The 21,050-nt window shown below is 42.2% G+C and overlaps 2 long non-coding RNA genes across 3 annotated transcripts in view, besides 1 other annotated feature; one reads left to right on the top strand and one right to left on the bottom strand.

The window, feature by feature from the left end:
- LOC124905177 (uncharacterized) overlaps window positions 1-2,908 on the bottom strand; it is a 148,876-nt gene extending 145,968 nt beyond the window's left edge. For both annotated transcript variants that reach the window (XR_007068213.1, XR_007068214.1), the window contains exon 1: window positions 2,811-2,908. This is a non-coding gene — a long non-coding RNA (uncharacterized LOC124905177). The remainder of the gene's footprint in view (window positions 1-2,810) is intronic.
- Window positions 2,945-3,239: a silencer, noted in NCBI's record as "tiled region #8592; K562 Repressive non-DNase unmatched - State 5:Enh". NCBI's record gives its function as "represses a minimal TATA promoter and a strong SV40 promoter by Sharpr-MPRA in K562 cells {active_cell/tissue: K562}" and the evidence as "EXISTENCE:reporter gene assay evidence [ECO:0000049][PMID:27701403]".
- On the top strand, window positions 16,402-20,825 carry LOC124905178 (uncharacterized). The gene is made up of 2 exons (XR_007068215.1): window positions 16,402-16,572; window positions 17,413-20,825. It is a non-coding gene; the product is annotated as an uncharacterized LOC124905178 (long non-coding RNA).
- Window positions 20,826-21,050: the final 225 nt, after the last annotated feature.

Raw genomic sequence — 21,050 nt, 5'->3', positions numbered from 1 at the left:
GATCCTGGTCAGAAAATTTGGAAATCACTGTTGCAAAAGATTAATGACAAGGAAATATATTCATAATGCATTAAATGGAAAAAAGTAGATAGCAAAAAATAAAGAGTGTATGTATGTAAGAAAAAATATTAGATTGAAACATTATTCGCTTTAAAAAAAGCATAGACAGGCATAGAAAATCAACTGAAAAAATAATGTTGAGTAGATTTTTCTGGGTGATTTCATTGTTTTCTCCTTTGTATTCATCTTTGTTTTTTAAATTATCTACATGGAACATATAATTTTAAAAAGGTAAGTTATTTCTAGAAGATGCTATATAATATCCTTTAGAAAAATAGGCTTTTTAGAAATAAAAGTACCTCAATGGCAATGTCATAAATTACTGCAAATAAGCTTTTAAGTGCCTATAGAAGGCATAATTATGAGTTCTCTATACAAAGTGTTTCATCTCACATTATCTTGTCTAATCTCCATAATGATAAAAGAAGGGAGGCAAGACAACAGTCATCCTTATTCACAGAAGGGAAAACTGAGGCACAGAGAGGTTAAGTGACCTGTCCACAGTTGCACTACGAGTTAGTGGTTGACCTGGCAAAGAACCCAGGGCTTCTGATTGCTAATCCACACCCTACATTTCACCTACTCTACTGTAGTCTGTAGACTTGATACTTTATTGTGCTGTGTGGGACATAATTATCCCCTTTTTACTTCTATAATGAAGAAGTGAACTTTCCTTCCCTTGTTCCTCATCCTCCTATGTCCTTGAGGCTGCCAGCTTTAGAGAATGACTCAAGCACTCTCTTAGCCATGTTTCTGTCCCTAGGGCCACCAGAGTATTGCCATTTCTGTGCATTCATTTCATACACTGGAGACACTATAATACGGGGAGTTAAGAGCCACCAAGATTTAAATCCCAGCACTGCCACTTATTGGTTCTGTGATCTTGGGCAAGTTGTTTAACCTCTCTGGTCCTTGATTTACTTATCTATAAAATGGGGATGATTACAATATTAATTGTTTTGACTTCACAGGGTTATTGTGAGAGTCAAATGCATTAATACGTGTAAAGTACCTAGGTAGTTTCTGAAGTCATAATACACATTATTGCAAAGGATTGCTATTCATATTATTATATAGTATTGGAGGATACTATGGCCAAACAACTTGAACTGTGTTCTCTGATTCTCCTCATTTTTCTCCTCCTCCCACCACCCAGAGTGGAATTTCCTCCATCACCCTCTTAGTATTGTCACTGATTTTGAAATTCCTCTTGGTGTTCCATTCCAAAAAAGCTCCTGATTTGTCCCTGTTTTATTTGAAGCTGTAGCTGCCAATACTGGCTGTTTCTTATGTATATTTACATATGCGTCCTACTGAGGGGGTGACAGCATCCAAGAAGAAAACTGATGGCTGTCTCTCTATGGACATTCTCTGTTTGTCTCTCAGTACCCGTTACCCTCTCTTCCAACAACAACCCAGATTTTTATCTGGACACAGATTCTTCCCTTGATCTTAAGTCCAAATGATCTAGGCAGGGCTTAACCTCTCATATCAAGGTGTGAAAAAAAGAAAGAGAAAGGGAGTTATTTTCTGGTAGCTCCTGTCTGGTAGCTTCCCTCTGATTGGACTAGCAGAATTTAAAATGAGAAAATAATGAGACGTTATTGCCAGTGCCCTGTTGCCTTGTGAAGTCTGAGAAGAAAGCCAATTGAAGGAGAAGAGTCAGGATGAATCTCCAGATGGACAGAAATGGGTCTTGGTGACAGCACGAGAGTCCCTGGATCAAGCCTTACCTAAAGCCAGCATCTACCCTGAACTTCTATGCAAACTATGCAACCATATGCAAACTATGCAAACTATGCAAACTATGCAAACCAGCACTCTTTCTCTAACTACCCCTTAAGACAGTTGGAGTTGGGTTTTTAAATACTTGCAAAGGGTCCTAGCTGATAAATTTTTGCAACAGAAATGTCCTCAGAACCATAGTAAAAAACAGCTGAATAGCCTCCAGGAGAGTGGAGCAAAACAAACACCAGAAGAAAATTAAACATAAAACAGCGAAAAGGTATTGCAGTCTCTAAGTATCTAAGGACAAATTCAAGTCCAATGTCCTTTGTATGATTCCAACTTCCATGTACCTTCATTTCATTTGAAAAATGCACTTCTTTATTCAGAGTTACTTAGAAACTTTTCACCTAGGCTAGTTTGACTCCCTACTCCCACTAAAAACAAAAACAAGAACACCACTTTCAGCAAATACAGGAAGCAAAGGTAGTTGTAACAGAATTTGAAACACAATGGTGTTGTTTACATTAAACATACAAAGACCCAGCATGAGGCTCCTTGAGAATTAACAGCTGTCCAAAGCCAGGGAGTGGTGGACCCGGAAGGCAACTGAGTTCATGATTTCATTTTAAAGGCCAAAACCATTTTGGTCTAAACCTGTGGTCCTCAGAGGGCCTGGTCTGGCTGAGTTCGCAACATTGAACCTGTAGCATACAAGTGGGTATCTGGGATATTTGTATAGTGGACTTTAAAGGGCAGCCTCAGAAGAGAGTGAGCCTCATCACTGGAAGTATTTAAGGCAGGTGTCCGGATAGCCATCAACAAGGGGCACTGTGGAGAGAATTCCTGCATTGTGTGTGTCTGTGTGTGTGTGTGTGTGTGTGCAGATAATACACAGCCTGGGAAAACAACAGAGTGTAAAGTTAAGGGAAGAAAAATAGGATTTTTGTTGACTTTAGATTGGGCCCTCTCCCACCCCTAACTCCCACTCTTCCCCCATCTACATGTCACATGATTCCCCTTACCTCTGACATGCAGAGAAGTTGCCTCTTCCCAGAGACAGGCACGTCTCTTCCTAAGAATGGCTGGGAGACTAGAATGGCAGCTGTCTCAGAGAAAATGCAAGTCACTGGGGGCAGGAAAAAGAGGAGACACAGGACAGCCGGCTCCCTCCGCTGCCTTTTCACCTTTTCTCTACTTCCTAAACCACCCCCTTGGCTGCCTTGTTGGCAGATGTGAACTGGAAAAGCCTGCTTGGGGTGCCATGTGAAGATCAGCCCCACTGCATCGGTGAGTCAGTCACAGGCTGTGCAGGGAACTCACTCACGGAGCTGGGTGGCCTGAGGATGGGCTGTCCTGGCTAGAGAGCCTTGGCACAACCATGCTCTCCAATGGAGGACAAAAGAGAGAAATACCAGGCTTGCGGCTGCTTTGAGTGGTCCCACAGTTGAAATGCCAGGGAATATGATTGGTGCAATGAACCATGTGGATCGCCTACAGAGTTCCTCTGCGTGGAGGTCCAGTGTGGCTTTATTTCACAATCCCAAAAGCATGATGATGTTCCTTTCTGAAATCTGCTTTGGGGGCTCAGAATTTTAACCTAAGACCACTTGGGTATCTTCTGCATATTGAATAAAGGTAAGAAAGGCAGTGGGAGGGAGTGAGCAGTGAGTGGAGAATCAAGCAGTTGGGTCATTCTCAGGCAAAGGCAGAGGATCTCCCACAGTTTAGGTGAGAAATGTATCCTCCCCACAAGCACCTAGTGAGCACAGACAGAATCCCTACTCCCCAGAAGCAGCCTGGGAGGGGTCTGTAATCATTAGCTCCGGCCTGATAATAAATCATAAACACAGCTTTGTTTTTTCTGAGATAGAAGTCAGGGACTGATGGGTGTGGTAGGCATGGAGGGTGTTAAAAAAATAGATATTCCATGAATTCCCCAAATATATCTTAAAAACAGTCTCAATAAACCTCATGACTAAAGGGCATTTAGTTAACAAACTCCCTCAGAGGCTCTTAACTTCCTCAGTGAACTGTGTGAGAGAAACCTTGACAACAGTGTCCAGGTGGGTTTCTGTGCTCTGTCCAGGGATGCCAGCCACTGTGCTAGGCTTCAGAGGCTATGCATGGAATTTAACAAAAACAATACTGCTTGTATCTCTAATTCCACACCCCAGCTATATCGAAGGCTGGGGCCAAGTGATTACCTTGAGTTTTGGATACAACACAGATAATCAAGTTCGGCAATTCCAGGCTAAAAAGAAACAAAAAAGGTTTCCTTCTTATTCAGATAAGAAATCTAAATAGATATTTCCCCATGTATCACATAACTGTGTGGCTGTACAGACTTAGTAATAGCTCCTTGAAAGTCTTTTTTAAAATTCTTTCACAAGAACTCAAAAGTTCCACTTTTGGTGGCCTGTTTTTTTGTCTTTGTTTTTTTTTTAATGGATGGTTTTTGATAAAGACAGACATATTATAATTGCCGTTGGGATTGTTAGAATGTTTTATTTTGTAACTATAGATACAGTCAGTACATCCTCTTTCACCATTAGATATTGCATCATTCCTCTGTATTGTCTTGTGTCTATTTCCTCTCCAACCTAGGACTACTCACAAAACAAAACAGATATTCCTAAATTACATTAATGACAGTCCTGACTTAGTGTAAATAGACAGAAAAGGAGTCCAAGCTCCTCATGACTGGAGCCATGTCTCATCCTTTAGTGGGTTCCCAGTGCCTACGACATTCCTCCATGTAGAGCTGATGCCTAATAAATATTAGTTCAATTCACTGCAGGGGATTTCACGAGCTCCTAGCCACTTGTGAGTCACCAGTGTCTGTACAGCTAATTGGCAGTCAGGACCTAGGATATAAATGGAACTAGGCAACACAGGGACTGTGAGGCCACCCTCCCTCCATACTAAGATTTCTCCAAGTGTGGCCTGCCAACCACCAGCATCAAAGTCACCAGGGTGTTTGCTCAAAATGCAGACCCCTGGGCCTTGCCTTTAGCAAATTGTAATTTTGGGGATCAGGCCCAAGATGCTGGGTGCTGAGTTAGAGGCCCTGGGTTCTATACCCTGCATTGGGCAGGTGCTTATGATAGAATGCTACTTCTATTACAAGCTTGAACCCAAAAAGAGCGATATGGAGCAATCGAAGGGAAGCCAGAGGAAGGTTTGTTAAAGGCTGGACAAATAGCTCCTATAAGGAAATCCTAAAGGCAATCTAAACAGAAGGCCATGAGGTTTAGGAAGAGTCTTCAAGCACACAAAGGAATGCAGCTTTAGGGAGGGAGCTAGGCAGGCAAGACGCGGCACAGCCACTCTAGCTTTGAATCTCCGGAAGGCAAAGAGGGGCATGCTGTCTTGGAAAACATGAAAGCCTCAGATGTCTTTGCATCTCACCAGGAACAGGCTCGCCCTTAACATCTGCAGGACTGAGCCAAGAGTACAAACAGAGGCCTACACACCATATGTGTGAATGTTTAAAAGTTATATATCAAGCTAACAAACGCTTAAATAAAAAAAAAGTTATTTCCTTCTATCTTGCCTAATAATCTGTCAGAACAATTTGGAAGGCCAGGTGTGCATTTAGAGTTTGGTGGCTCTTTGGAGTCTCACACTGGAATTTGGAGGAGCAAAGGGAGAGAGAGAAAGAGAGAGAGAGAGAGAGAGCTGACATTCAGCCATCCCCTTTCACCCTTCACCCCCTGCAGGTCCATCCCGCACTGAGTGAGCCTGGCGGCCCATGTATGTGGCTATCTCAGCTGCCTCACCAAGTTCCTTCCACAGACCTCCATGTTCTGCCCTCTAAACAGACACACCCACCCTGCAGACTGAGGGGAACTGGCTGTACAGTCAGTTCATTGTAGGCCCCACAAGCAGGCTCAGGGCTTGTAGGCAAGAAATTTAGGGGTCCAGGAATCCAGAGGGTATTATCAAAGGTGGGCACATCCCTTGACTTTTCAGAATCTTGCTTGGCAGAGAGTGGTGCAGTTGGAGAAAGGGCCTCTAATATAGTAGAGCAAGTCGTTAAATAATGTTGTTTTGTTGGGCTGGGCATGGTGGCTCATGCCTATAATGCCAGCACTTTGGGAGGCTGAGGCAGGAGGATGGCTTGAGCCCAGGAATTTGAGACCAGCCTGGCCAACATGGTGAAACCCCATCTCTACAAAAAAAAATATAGATATATATAATATATATATACACACACACACACACACACATATATGCACACACATGTATATACACACACACACATATATATATAATAATTTTCATATATATGAAAATTAGCCAGGCATGGTGCATGTGGCTGTAGTCCCAGGCTACTTGGGAGGCTGAGGGTGTAGTCCCAGCTACTCAGGAGGCTGAGGCAGGAGGATTGCTTGAGCAGGGACGGTCAAGGCTGTAGTGAGCTGTGATTGCGACACTGTGCTCCAGCCTGGGAGACAGAGTGAGACTCTGTTTCAAAAATAATAAATTTTTTAAAAGATTGTTTCATTCAATGTCCTTTTATTATAGTGTTAGTCAGAAGAAAAAAAAAATTCCTGGCTGGGGCCACTGTCCGTGTGGACATTATTCCCATGTCTGCTTGGGTCTTCCCTGGGCACTCTGATTTCCTCCCACATCCCTAAGTTGTGTACGTTGGGTGAACTGCTGTGTCTAAATGGTCCCAGTGAGTGAGTTGTGGATGTGTGAGTGCACCCTGCAATGGGATGGCGTCCTGTCAAGAGTGGGTTCCCACCTGGCACCCTCGGCTGCCAGCATAGGCACTAGCCACCCATGACCCTGAACTGGAATAAGTAGGTAAATAATTATCCTATGTGTTTTAATTAATTGCTCTTAAATGTATGTGTGGCTTACATTTATTTCAATGTTTTGGTCTTTATTTACAAATTTGGTGATGTTTTTGTGACATGCCACAGGAACTTAACTCTCATTTATATCATTAGCCTATGGGAAAATTGGTTTCAGTATACGTCATTTCACTTAAAGTCACGGTTTCCAAAAATCAATCCATTATGTCAAGGGAGGACTTACTGACTGCGCTTTTCAAACTTTAATGTGCACAAGAATCACCCGGGGATCTTGTTAAAATGAAGATTCTGATGCCTTAAATCTGGGGTGGTGCTCAAGGTCTGCATTTTATAAAGCTACCAGGTGATGCTGATGCTGCTGGTCCATGGACCACACTTTCAGTAGCAAGGGTCTGAAACCCCCAGGCCCCAGGCAGAGGTCCCTCTAGCTCTGGTCTAAGGATAGATGGCACTTCCCACACATCCGGGACCAAGAGAAGTTTAATGAATGCCTGCTCAGTTATATAGATTCATTGATAAAGGGATGGTGGGGGAAGAATAAAAAGAGAAAGGAGGGGGAGGGAAGGAAGTAAACAAGGAGGAGGGAAAGGACAGAGGAAGATCTTTTCCCTAGAACTGGACATTTTGCTGGTACAGGAGTTTGTATTCACTGTGACTTTCTTAAAACTACCAGCCTTTTACACATTTAATTTTTTCCTCCTTTTCCCTTCTCTCTGTCCTCTGGTTTTCTAAGTCCTTTAAGGACAGTGACCAAGTATTCTAGTTCTTTTCTTTGTACTAACTCACTTTCAGCAAAGCCTACTGAAATGCAGGTATTGTGGTTTACAGACCTGGATCCTCCCCCCATCATCACGCTGTCTGCTAAATAGAGGAAATGTTAATTTGGAGAAGCTGTGAATCTTCTGGAAATTTCCATATCACTGAAGATTCAGTAAGTCAGTTCACATTCCCTCTGTACCCTTTAGTTATTAAATAATAAACTTTAATTCAAGGTATTTTAAAGGGCCCATAGGAATTTTAATTTGATGTGAATGACTTACAAATCTGAATAAAAATCAGATCATATAAAACTGCAATCTCTATTACTTTTAAATAATAGAACAAGTTGAAAAATAATCAACAGCCAATGTAAGACTCCTGTGTAATTCAATCAAACCCCTATTTTCTGGACTAATGAAAGAGGCAGGGAGGGAAGTAATTCCAAATCATTTGTATGTGACTTTGCATAAGATGGACACTGCTACTTTGATGTTACTTAAGTGTCTGTTTAAATTAGTGACATTCTTTAATGCTATAGTGGGATAGCCCTGGCAATACCTGGGAGGTGTTAGCCTATAGCTTTTAGCATTGAAATCCAAACCAACAGGTGAATGTTAACGAAGCTCATCAGGAGGCAACCCTCCCTTGTCAGAACAAATGGTTTGCTGTATAGACACATCAGAGTGTGTTACCCTAGACCTGCTTTGAGAGTAAACGTGGGGTGACCACTCATAGAGGAGACTTTAGGATGTTGGAGTGAGAGGAAGAGCTATTGTTTATGCAACAGTCTTTGTCCAACTACCTATCAGAGTGGTGTCAGAAAAGATACAGACACCATTGCAGCCACGCAGCCTGGCACAGTAATCAGAGCAAGGGACCTCTTCCACATCCCAGATTACCATGCATAGGGAGCATTGTACATCCACAGAGTGAGTGAGATCAACCTACCTTGAGCTCAGTCGCATGGGAAGGGGACCCCCATTGCTCAGACTCACAAGTTGGAAGAACAGTGGTTCTCAAACTTGAGTGAGCATCATAATCACAGTTCATGAAGGCCAGGCATGGTACACCTGGTAGCATCTCTTTCTCTACCTTAATCTTGACTTATAAAATTTAACAGCTGCAGACCAGCCCTCTGCTGCTTAATAGTATCCTGACAGGCGCCCCAAGTTCCATTAGAGATTGGCTCTTTTTTTTTTTTTTTTTTTTTTTTTGAGACAGAGTCCTGTCTCCCAGGCTGGAGTGCAGCAGCATGATCTTGGCTCACTGCAACATCTGCCTCCCAGGTTCAAGTGATTCTTGTGCTTCAACCACCCGAGTAGCTGAGATGACAGGTGCACGCCACTAACACCCGGCTTATTTTTGTATTTTTAGTAGAGATGGGGTTTCACCATATTGGCCAGGCTGGTCTCAGACTCCTGGCCTCAAGTGATCTGTCTGCCTCGGCCTCCCAAAGTGCTGGGATTACAGGCATGAGCCATTGCACCCAGCCAAAATGGGCTCCTTTGGACTTGACAGTGTTGTCCCCTTAAAGAGGTCACTTTTAAAATATGAAAACACTTGGGAGAGGTCCAATCTTACCACTCACTATTTTAGTTCAGGGCTTCTCAAATGGCCCACTGAAATGCCTGACAAGCATTGAATATGCCGATTCCTGGGCCTTGTCCCAATGATGCTGGTTTAATTAGTCAGGGCGAAGACCAGGAATTAACAGGTCATTCTTGAAAAGCTCTGATTAGGGGAAATAAAGGAGTGGGGAACTGGGTGCTACAGTTTGCATACAGTGAGATTAAAAAGCATTTGAAACAACATTGACTGCTTCACAGCTTTACTAAGGCCTAACCTTTGGCCACAATTATGTAGATTTGAAGAAATTATTTCCTCAACTTCAAGACTTGGCACTGACCGTGCCCTAAAAATAACTGGTAATGTGGAGTTAACTTGGCTGTGCTATCTTTAGAAATGTAGTTGCTACAAGGGCAGTTGCTACAAGGGCTGAAATGCATCTGGACAGATGTCTGGTATTTTAGAAATTCTAGAAAAAGGACTGAGGAAAGAAGGTCCTGCTCCCTCTGCCAATCAAGTAACCAACACCTCTGGTCTAAGCACTAGCTTACCTGCCAAAAAAAGATAACAACATAGTCCCTTCCTTCTATGAGCTCACAGCATAATTAGTTGGGAAAAGGGTGGGAAGGGGTTGAACAAAAAATCCACAAACCAAAAGAATGAACATCACAGGTAGAGTACGCAAAATGCCTTGCTGCTGTCATACATCTTCCAGTCACCCCTTTCTCCTCGTTTCTTAAATATTTAAGCACCTGGTTCATGACTTCCTCCACCACTGGCGCTATCATAATTCTAGTGGTCAAATTCATGACCAAAACTCCAACAGAGTTGATCCTTTCAACTCTCCAGCTTCTCAGATCTTTGACCTTTTCTCCTCCAACAATTGTGTCTCTGCCCTACCTCAGCCACTCAGCAAGGTCACACTCTAGACCTGTCATTACCAGTGACTGCATTCCCAACATATCTCAGTTTCAAGTTTCCCACTTTCCAATTACCACTTTCTAGCTTTCCATATTACTCTGTCGTCTCTCAACTCCAACGATTCTTGAATCTCATTGGGAGTTCTTATCCACTGATCCTACCAGCTTTTCACTCCCCTTAACCCCTTTGGTAGCTTTGCTTCCCTTCTTACCTGGCTTTGATCCCATCATAACACCCACTCCCTTTCCTACCACTTCAACCACCTCAATTCCCTCACCTCTTTCTCCTACCTTCACATCCCTATGCTGTTTAAATCCACCTTTCCACTTCCTTGGCACCGGCAAGCAAGGAGTTGAGGCAGCTCCATGATGACTGGTCTCACTTTAAATTCATGACCACAAACTTGAAGTAGGTCTGTAATGCCGCCTAGAGTCCCACTACACTTCCCTAGTCAGTCTATCCTTTCAGTCTCTAAAACAACTCTATCACCCTTTTTCTTCTCTCCTCCAATCTTCGATACTCCCTTTCTCATTTTCACTTTTAGCTGATGATCTTGCCTATTTCACTAACAAAAGTATTCAGAAGAGAACTTCCATATCCTCCACCATATATCCCAGCCTCTCTGCCTCTGTGATCATATACTTCATCTTCTCTTCTGACATAGTAGATAAACTATCCATGCTCCTTTCTAAAGCCAAAGCAATCTGTATGTTAATCAGATCCTGTCCCCTCCCAGCCTACTGAGACTTCCCTCCTGCCTGCTGCTGCGCCATGAAGTTAGCCCATCCTGCTAAAACACGCCCACCAGCACACAAACTCACTCTTATATTATGAATCTAAAACACAACAAAAACAGAAATAAAAATATTCTTTGACCCCATATCTCCCTCCACTTACTGCCTTGTTCCTCTGCTCCCCTCTACAGCAAAACTCAGAAGTTATTTCTACTTGCTCTACTTCCTCCTTTTTTCTTTCTTGCATTCACTCTAACAAGGCTTTCATCCTCACTGTCCCACTGAAACTTCACTTTTAGTATCACCAATGGTCCCTACAATTAAGTCCAAGACTAATTTTCAGGCTTCTCCCTAACTTGACCCATCAGCATCATTTCTCCTCCTGGAAATGTTTTCTTCTCTTGGCCTTCCAGACACCATCCCTTCTTGGATCACCTCCTATTTTTGTTGATTTCCCTTCTTAGTCTCTGTATTAGTCCGTTCTCACACTGCTATAAAGATAACACCTGAGATTGGGTAATTTATAAACAAAGGAAGTTTAATTGACTCACAGCTCTACATGGCTAGGGAGGCCTCAGGAAACTTAACAATCATGGCAGAAAGGGACACAGGCACCTTCTTCACAAGGCAGCGGGAGAGAGTGTGAGTGTGTGAGAGTGCAGGGAAAACTACCATTTATACCATCAGATCTCATGAGAACTCACTCACTATCACAAGAACAGCATGGGGGAAGCCACCCCCATGATCCAATCACCTCCCACCAGGTTTCTCACTTAACATCTGGAGATTACAATTCGAGATGCAGTTTGGGTGGGGACACAGAGCCAAACCATATCTGTCTCCTTTGCTGGTTACTCCTCATCTTCCTGACCTCTAAAATAAATGACGGAGCATTCAGTCCTTGGACCTCTTCTCTTCTCTGTATACTCTTGCTGCCTAGGTGATCTCATCCTGAATCTCAGGGCCTTAAATATTAGCCATTTGCTGACAGTTCCCAAATTTATTTCTTTAGCCTTGGCAACTGTCCTGACCTGCTAGCTTGTATGTCCAATTGATTCCCCAACAATCTCTACTTAGATTACACTCCTCAAACTTAACATGGCTTGAACGAGGATCTTTATTCCCCTTACCCAAACCAGTGCAATAAATGATACCATTCTTTAGATAGCTCAAAACAAAAATCTTGGTATCGATCCTGAATCTTCTCCCTATTCTTATATTCTACATTCAATCTATCAGCAAATTCTATCAGTTATAATTGCAAAGTTATCCAGGATCACCACTTTTCAGCAGAAACTACCATGACCACCAAGGTTTCATCTACCATCATTTTTTATCAGCACTATTGCAACAGACTTCTGGCTGTTCTCCCTACTTCCACCAATAACTCCTACAATTTCATCATAACACAACGGTCAGAATTGTCTTTTTGAACACTTAGATCATTTTATTCCTCTGCTCAAAACCCTCCACTGGTTTCTAAATCATTCAGGATGAAGTCCAGAATCCCCTCTGTAGCCTATGAAATCCTACATGACCTTGCCCTACTACCTCTAGGCCCTAATCATTTGCTCATTGAGATCCAGCTACAGCGAACTCTTTGACATTTCTAGAATGTTCCATATTTAGGCTTACTGCTTCCTCAGCCCCAAATTTTCTTCCCCGAAAAAGCCACATTGCTCATTCCCTTGCTGAGTTCAGGTTTCTGCTCAGAAGTCCTCACTTCATAGTTATCTTTCCTCACCTTATCTGTTGTAGCATTATTATCTCTCTATCTCCTCTATTTGTTTTTTCTTTCTATCATCTGAGATTACAATATGTCTCAGTTTCGGTCCCTGAAATCACAAATAAATAAACAGAGCCTCAGAGAAGGACTCCAGTGCAGATAGTTTATTAGGGGAGGTTATCCCATGAAGCAGGAGTGAGGAAATGGGGAAAGTGAGGCAGGGAAGGAGAAAAAGCCAATGGCCAATGCAAGGGTACTTTCATAATGTTGCCACTTGGGCCATGAGGGCTCAGTTCCATTGAGACCTCCTGAAAAGTATACAGAATGCCTCCTAGAAATTTCAGCCTGAAGTGCTGAGCTTACCCCTGGTAATTAATGTACCCCACATCCAGGCTGCATTTGCCTGCAGGCCAAAAATTCCCAAGGTGTTGGAGAAGCCCCAGAGCTGAAAGTAACAATGCATAGAGTGCATGCTTGAGGAGAGATGCTGTGAATGTGAGACAAGCACAAGTTTGCAGGGGACTGTCCCCTGGAGCAGCAGGTGAAATAAGAGGTGGGCTGACAGGAAGTGTTGTGGGGCACAAGTGGGTCTGATGCATCTTATATATTGAGTCATTAGTGTCTGTTACCCTGCTAGAATACAGACTATCATGGTTTTTTTTAAGTTATGTTTATTAAGGTACGATTTACATACAGTAATACGCAGCCTTTTGAGCATTCAGTCCACACTGAAGAGTAAAGTTCAATGAGTTTGATAAGTGTATTCGGTCATAAAACTGCCACCACAATCAAGATATAAAACACTTCCAACATCCCAAAAGTTACTTTCTGCCCATTTGCAGTCAATCCTCTATTGCCACTGGCAACCACTGATCTACTTTCTGTTCCTATAATATTGCCTGTTTCAGAATGGGGTCATATCAATGAAATTGCAGTGTGTAGTCATTTGTGCCTGGCTTCTTTCTTAGCATACCTTTTAAGATTCATCCATGTGATTGCATTTACCGATAATTTGTTTCCTTTTATTGCTGAGTCATTCTGTCTTATGGATGTACCACAGCTAGTTGATCCATTCTCCAGTTGATGGGCTGTTTTAGTCTGTTATAAATAAAGCTGCTTTGATCATATGTCTATAGGTCTTTGTATGAATGTATGCTTTTATTTCTTTTGGATAAATATGTAATATAAGCTCTGTTTTGTTCACCAGTGCATCCTTAGTGCTTAACTAATTGCTTGGCACATAGTAGGGTCTCAATGAATATTTGTTGAATGAATGAACATAGAAATAGCATATTCAAAATGATGAAGAGCTGTCTTCATGCCCAGGAGGATTCAAGTAAAAGCTGAGAATTAAAGTAGCTGTACACTACATAGATGTTTATAAACATCTTATCTGAATAACTTCTGGGACAGCATCTATTTCCATTATGGAATTCATGGAACAGCACTCATCTATCTCATCAACTAATCCCCAGACCTCAGCAGGCTCATGCTTACTACACAGAGGTACAGGGCCTTTTAATGCTCTGCCCTGTACATGACTCATGCTTTGGTTTCCCTGTTTGATTTAAATTCTAATGCAACTTTCCACCACTTGATTTCTTTCAGGCCCTAGGCCTCTGGATTCATGCTGTCTTCCATGGCCACATTATCAACAGATGCAGGAACAACACTGTTAAACTCACAGCCTCCTCCCTCTTCCTAGCCAGTACAATTTTGTACTGGTTAATGGAATCTCATGGGTAGTTCCTATGCTAAGAGTTTCTGAACTTTTAAGCAATGTGCCCCATCCTTGAGTGCTATGTTCATGACACATTTTCTTACAGATATTGTTATTACTTGAGTTTTTCCTGGCTAAGCCAATGGTCCTGATGGACTTATATTACAAATAATAGCAGACATTTTAGTCACCGCTCCCCCTATCCATAGCAGTTCTAGGAGGTCCCAGGGTTGTTTCACACGTGCTCATGAACAAGTTTGCTCAGATATCTCTATGTCTATCCACCACCCCTTGCTGTTAGCCGTATTTGTTCTATTACTATCCACTGAGCACAGTCATTAAAGCCTGGAACCTTGAGGCACTGGCAGAGCCCAACTGTCTGGAACAATAGATAGTGAATGCCTCTTAGATTTTTGAGGTACCCTCTATTAAAGGGGTCCCATAGCAAGGTGGCTTGGATGCTGCTGGGTTCCCAAATTGAATGACACAACTCTGTGAGTTTTTATTTACAGACCTTTTGTGAATCAGCCACTCAGCAAGCACTTATTGAGTATCTATGGTGCACCAGGCACTATTTCAGGGTCTGGGGCAGAGAAATGAAAAGACAGGCAGTATCTCTGTATCAGGCACCTCATATCCATTCAGACTCATTTCTGATCCCAACATGGCTACAGTGAACAGTTCCAGACACACTTCAAGACATCTTGCCAATGAGAGGAACCTAAGTGAGATTGGAAAGGCAAAAGTTAGGAGAGGCCAAGAGGCTAATATTTTCAGAAAGTTATAGAAGACAGATGTGACATAATTTCCCAGAGAACTTTTGAGAGCCAACCATTTCAGTGCTTTGCTGCAGGCTGAGGTCATCGGGGGCCATTTCTCTGACCTTCCAGCTTCAGTCTCTTTGATCTTCACTCCCCTGCAACCTTCCATATTTGTGTAAGCTCTGATTCCTACACCAAACCCCTTTATTTCTGTAATATTATACTTAAAGGCTCTCTATCTTCTCAGATAGAGAACCTGCACCAAACCCTTGTCTCAGGCTCTGCTTCTGAGATGGAAGCTAACTAAGGCAGACCCCATACTCAAGAGGTAAGAGACAAACAATAAATTAATAAGCAAGCAATATCATGTTTGCCTGTGATAAGGACTAGGAGTAAAACAAAAGAGAATGATACGTGAGAGTTACTGGTGCATGAGAGGGCGTGAGACAGCAGCCACTTTAGACAGAGGGCTCAGAAAAATGACTCTTTGAGGAGGTAATATTTAAATTGAGATCTGGAGGATACAGAGAGATCCCCCAGGGCAGAGTAATCAGGACAGAAGAAATAGCAAATATGTAGGCAGTAGAGTGAGAACGGGCCTGGCTAAGGAAGACAAAGAAGACTCTGTGGTTGAAAACTCAGGGCAAAGGGGTGAAAATGAGGTGGGAGAAGCCAGCAGAATCTGCTTAGGTCGGTTTTCTGTAGGCTCTTAGAAGGGGAGTTTTATTTACTGCTAAGTGGAGTGGAAAGCCATAGAAGGTTTTTAAGCAGAGGAGTGATCTGATTTATGATTTGGAAGTAGTTATCTGGCTGCTTCCTGGCAAATGGAATATAGACAGTGGTGCAAGAATGACAGTTCATCTCTCACCAGGACCCAAACAGGGGTTCAGAGGCTGCACAGGGGTCAGTTTAGCATGCCAATGACCACAGGGCATGTACTCATAATCACACCTCCCTTCTAAAGTCCAAAGCTCTCTTACCAGGCCACGCTCCTTAGGCCTGGCTGCTTCATCCCTGGTTCATCCTTCTCTGAGGGGTTGTGCCCTCTTAGGATACTCCTTAGTTCCTCAAGCACAAAGACTTCCAATGGGCTTGTCCCTGCAGCTCTCCAGACACTCCAAGGCCATTGGAGTGCCAGCTAAGTTGCCACTGGCACCCTCCTCATATACCAGGAAAACTCAAGTCAGAGGTACCCATGTGAGTTATAATTAGCCTGGGCTAGTTAAAAGAAACAAATGAGCAAAGCAGAGACCCGCCTTCAACGGAGCTGTAGCTTCTCAGCTGCTCTAACCATTTTGGCATAAGTAGATGTGCAAAAATGGTCTTGAGATTGTTAATGGTACCGAATCACAGAAAATATGATGGAATGGAAAGATCTCCAATGATAGACTCAAAATGGAGTTTTCTATTCTCGGTTTGGGAAACAAAATGAGGAGGGGCTAGCTTTCAGGAGATGGCCCCTATTTCCATAATTATGGGCAATTGCACAAGTTACTTAGAAAACACGAGAGTCATAAGGCTAGACTGTTTTTAGACCAAGCCATAATTTAGATGTGGGAAGTGGTTTCACATCTTTGTATCACCACCACAACATACACTGTGTTTCAATCTATCAGGAGCTCAAATTTGATCAGCTTTTTTTTTTCTTTTTTTTAAGAAATGTGCAGCAAATTGCTTTTCCTAATTAAGGTAGATGAAGACAGAAGCACGCATACTACTTACCACTGCGGGATAAAATTGACTTTCAAATGATATTTAATGGACCAGCCTGATGGTAATGTTCTGCAGTTCCAGGCAGGAGGCCTGGATTTGATTCTCTTGCTGCAGGGAGAGAGGAATATGTGTGCGTGTGTGTGTGAGAGTGTGTGTATGCATGCATCTGTTTACAATAGCGAATAAGGAGGCAGAGGATGAGAATAGGTTATCAAAAAAACCTGTTTCTTTTGAAAAAAGTTAACATTTGTCATGTGAAGAAAGGCAAAGAGGAGAAAGGGGATGAGGAAGTGAAATGGTGGGGGTGTATATGGGTAGGAACTGGAGTAGAGAGAAGGTATTATTGTGAACATTTAAAATTTTTATGGAAAAATTGTCTGTGTTTTTTACTAACATTTGAAAAAATAGGGCTAACCTCTCTTATATAGTGAGGTGTGATATAATGATAATACTAATAGCAACAAACATAGCTACTTTTTTTTTTTTTTTTTGAGACGGAGTTTCACTTTTTTGCCCAGGCTGGAGTGAAGTGGCCCAATCTTGGCTAACTGCAACCTCCGCCCCTGGGTTCAAGTAATTCTCCTGCCTCAGCCTCCCAAGTAGCTGGGATTATAGGCACCCACCACCATACCTGGCTAATTTTTTTTGTATTTTTAGGAAAGATGGGGTTTTGCCATGTTGGCCAGGCTGGTCTTGAACTCCAGACGTCAGGTGATCCACCCGCCTCGGCCTCCCAAAGTGCTGGGATTACAGGTGTGAGCCACCGCGCCCAGCCATAGCTATATTATTAAACACCTACTATGCACTACAAACCACGCTAAAGGTGCTACACACATTATTGGGTTTAATACTCACAAAAGCCTTATGAATCAAGTGTAATTGTTTTCCTCAATTTACACAGGAGAGAATTGTTGCTTGCAAAAGTGAAGAAACTTGCCCAAGGCAAGTAGCAGAGCCAGGATTCAAACTCGGATCAGATCCAAAGTGCAAGGTGTAGACCACTACACCTCACCACCTTACTCAGCCCCTGGAATCCATGACAGAGCTCTGCTTGTGGTGTCACCATCTTTCACATCCGAGATAAGATGACTGGGAACAGTAAGCAAATGATAGTTGGAGCAATCCAAATGCAAAGGCAAGCAGCGACTTCTGTGTAAGGTCAGAGGAGGCAAAATGATGCTCTTCATTTAGCTAGAATCCTAGTTTACAGCCCTTGACTCTACTGGAAAATAGATACTCCAGACTGCAGAGATTAGCTGAAGAGGAAGGGAAGGCAGTTCGTCTCACTGGATCTGTCCCACACCTCCTGTAGTTCTATTAATACTTATTCCATATAAACCAAGTACAACTGGATATCATCTGGGCTCTCTGTTTTTTGGGGGTCTAGGTCAACCTAAGCCCCCAGCTCTGTATGCAACAGAAGTTCAAAGCCCTCCCCAGAACTTTGGTGATCCCTGAGAATTCCTGCGTCTGCCTGGGTGATCAGTGGCCTTTGCCTCTCAAGTGTGTAAATCAGACCCTTCCTCAAGGGCCATGGAAAGGCCACTCCCAAAATACATTCTGGAATATACCTGACTTTACTGAAGCGTTCAGAGGGAAACATAGAAATGACTGACACTACGTGATTAAAAAACAACTTTTTGAGTTAGAGTAGGCATCACTGACTTAAAAGTGCCCTGTGGTTACCTTGCCACTATGGTTGCACTGGCCTCACCTTGTCGATTCCTGGCTGAGTCCCTCTTGGCTCCAACTACTTCACCCTCCCTCTATTATTTGCTTCCAAACTTAACCAAAAACTGGGCGGAGGCAGGGGAGCTTGTATTTCATGCAGGGGTTCCTAATCTGGTGACAAGAGTTCAGGGGTTTCATAAACTTGGATAGAAAAATGTTACTTTATTTGCACTAACCTCTAACTAAAACTTAGTGTTTGCTTCTATTAATAATCTAATCAACAACCTACAGCAGTATTATCTGTACCTGAGACCCTTGCCACCAGGAGAAGACACAGATATTTTCACCCCATAATTGTTGCAGCTGAATCAAAATATTCTCTTTGTTCATCACCACTTTAAAATTATGCTAGTTATTAGTCTTGCCTGCTAGATCTTGCTATTAATAGATTAATTAAGAAGCACATATATCAGTTTCACATATTTGATTCTTAAAATTCTTTGATAACAAAGTTTCAAAGTAATTGGCTTCCTTTGAAATTCTATGTATTTTATTTTATGCATTTAAAAACATGATTCTGAGAAGGGGGTCCACAGATTTTACCAAATTGCCAATGGGGTCGACGGCATAAGAAAAGAGTAAGAAGCCCTGATTTAAAGTGGTAAAATTTTTATATGAATTCTATCACAATAAAAAATAGCCCTGATTTAATGAGACCTACTGTCCTGAGAAGGCCCTTGTGGCTACCAAGAATCATTTTTCCCCCTGTAACTCAAGTTTGAACGTCTCTGCATAACTCTCTCTCTCTTTTTTTTTTTTCCCCCAGTCTCACTCTGTCACCCAGGCTGGAGTACAGTGGCATGATCACAGCTCACTGCAGCCCTGAGCTCCTGGGCTCAAGTGATCCTCCCACCTCAACCTCTCAAGTAGCTGGTACTACAGGCACATGCCATCACAACCAGCTAATTTTTTGTATTTTTAGTAGAGATGGGGTTTCACGATGTTGGCAGGCTGGTGTCAAACTCCTGAGCTCAAGTGATGCATCTGCATTGGCCTCCAAAAGTGCTGGGATTACACGCAGGAGCCACTGTGCCTGGCCTCTGCATAATTCTTGTGGCCAAACTCTTCAAAAGGAATCTGAGCCAGATGCTGTGGCTCCTACCTGTAATCCCAGCACTCTGGGAGGCCATGGTGGGAGGATCACTTGAGGCCAGGAGTTCAAGACTAGCCTGAGCAACAATAGTGATACCCCGTCTCTACTTATTAAAAAATACAAAAGTTTTTTTTTTTAAGAATCTTTGCAGTCTCGGTTCACTTGCACAAGGTGGCTTTGTGTGTTTAAGGCTATTAACAATACCAGAAAGGTTAGCTGATGTGGGAAGTTCTGGCAAGATCCTTGCCTTCTTTGGGCCAGTGGACACTCAAAAATCTGTCTTTGGGAGTTACTTTCTTATAGACCATTTTCTGGATGCCTCGCTTACTGTAGACAAAATATGTTCATCACAACTAAACTCTGTGTTCACCTACATTTCATTGACAGCACATCCTCTGCCCTTTCACACCACCTTACTCATTTGAAAACTTCTTTTAATTTATCCTCTTTTTGGTAACCATTGTGTCCTTGTTCATAACCTATAAATCCTCCAGATCAAAGATCTAGGCTCAGTTGGAATAAAAAAAAAAGTTTAATAAATTAACATTTTAAATATAATGATTTCCGAACATGCCATTAGAAAGTGATTGCTTACCATCTGTCTTCTGTTGACCAGCATTAAAGGGTAAACAGCAATATCCTAGGCTGGAGAAGTGATGTTGTGATTAAGCATCACTGTGTGAGAGCCCACAGTACCCCTGAGCTCAGCTGATATTATGAAACCCATCCTCCAAGTACTGAAGGGAGTGAATGGGAAGGGGGAAAAGGTCATTTGGAATAACAGTGTGCTAAGGCTGGATGCTAATGTTGTTATGAAATCTCAAGATTCTGTTATAATTATACTCATTGAACTCACCCACATTTTCATGTTCAAATTATTTTTGTCAGTTAAATTACATACTACTTCAGTTTTCCTGTTTGTTATTTCATTTTTCAATTTTTGCTCATTTGTTTCAAGTAAAGCACCATATGAAATGTTGGAGACTATGAAGGTATTAAGGCAGAAGGTAGCAATCCTTGTCAAATACTGTCTTTGGGGGCCTGGGAGTGGAGAAAGCAGTGGTACCCCAGTAGGGAATAATATACATTTTCCATTGAGAAAAGGATACTTACGTGAACAGAAACAATCATTTCTAAAGGCCTTCTCCCAGAGGCAGCACCAGAAGAGACCTCAAGAGATTTCAATGCGTAACCATAGCAAGGAAACGTGATTTGTGGATACACACGTTATAAAAGCTACTTCTGTTGATTTTCTGTAAATGTCATGTAAAATAAATTGCTCTATAGCTTGAAGATTGTTTTGCAAGTAAAAAAATGTTTAGGATGGCATTTTCCTTTAGAGGAATGAATTTATACTGAACTAAAAGCCTTGAACAGTTTTTTTGCTTATTCTTTTCATGAAGCAAATACAATTGTGCAGGCCACTGTGTATGCATACTGGACATGTCTTGCTGTCCATGTTGGAACACAATAAAGATGATGAACTGTGAGCACAAGAGTTGCTGTAAATGTTACCACGTAGCCACTACTTCTTTCTACATTTTGGTAAACATGAGCTTTTTGAGGGAGGCTAATTCCAGCTATAGCTACTATTCCAAAAGCCTATTTTTTATTACTTGAATAATTTTTGGTCATTTTCTATAAATCCAAAAATCGGCATGCATCTATTTGTCTTCAAATGATAAATCATTGTGTAGCCATATTACATAATATTG

This window comes from Homo sapiens, chromosome X (genome assembly GCF_000001405.40).
Source record: "Homo sapiens chromosome X, GRCh38.p14 Primary Assembly".
Lineage (NCBI taxonomy): Eukaryota > Metazoa > Chordata > Mammalia > Primates > Hominidae > Homo > Homo sapiens.
The sequence above is the reverse complement of the archived record's forward strand: the minus strand, read 5'-3'. Positions and strand labels throughout refer to the sequence as shown.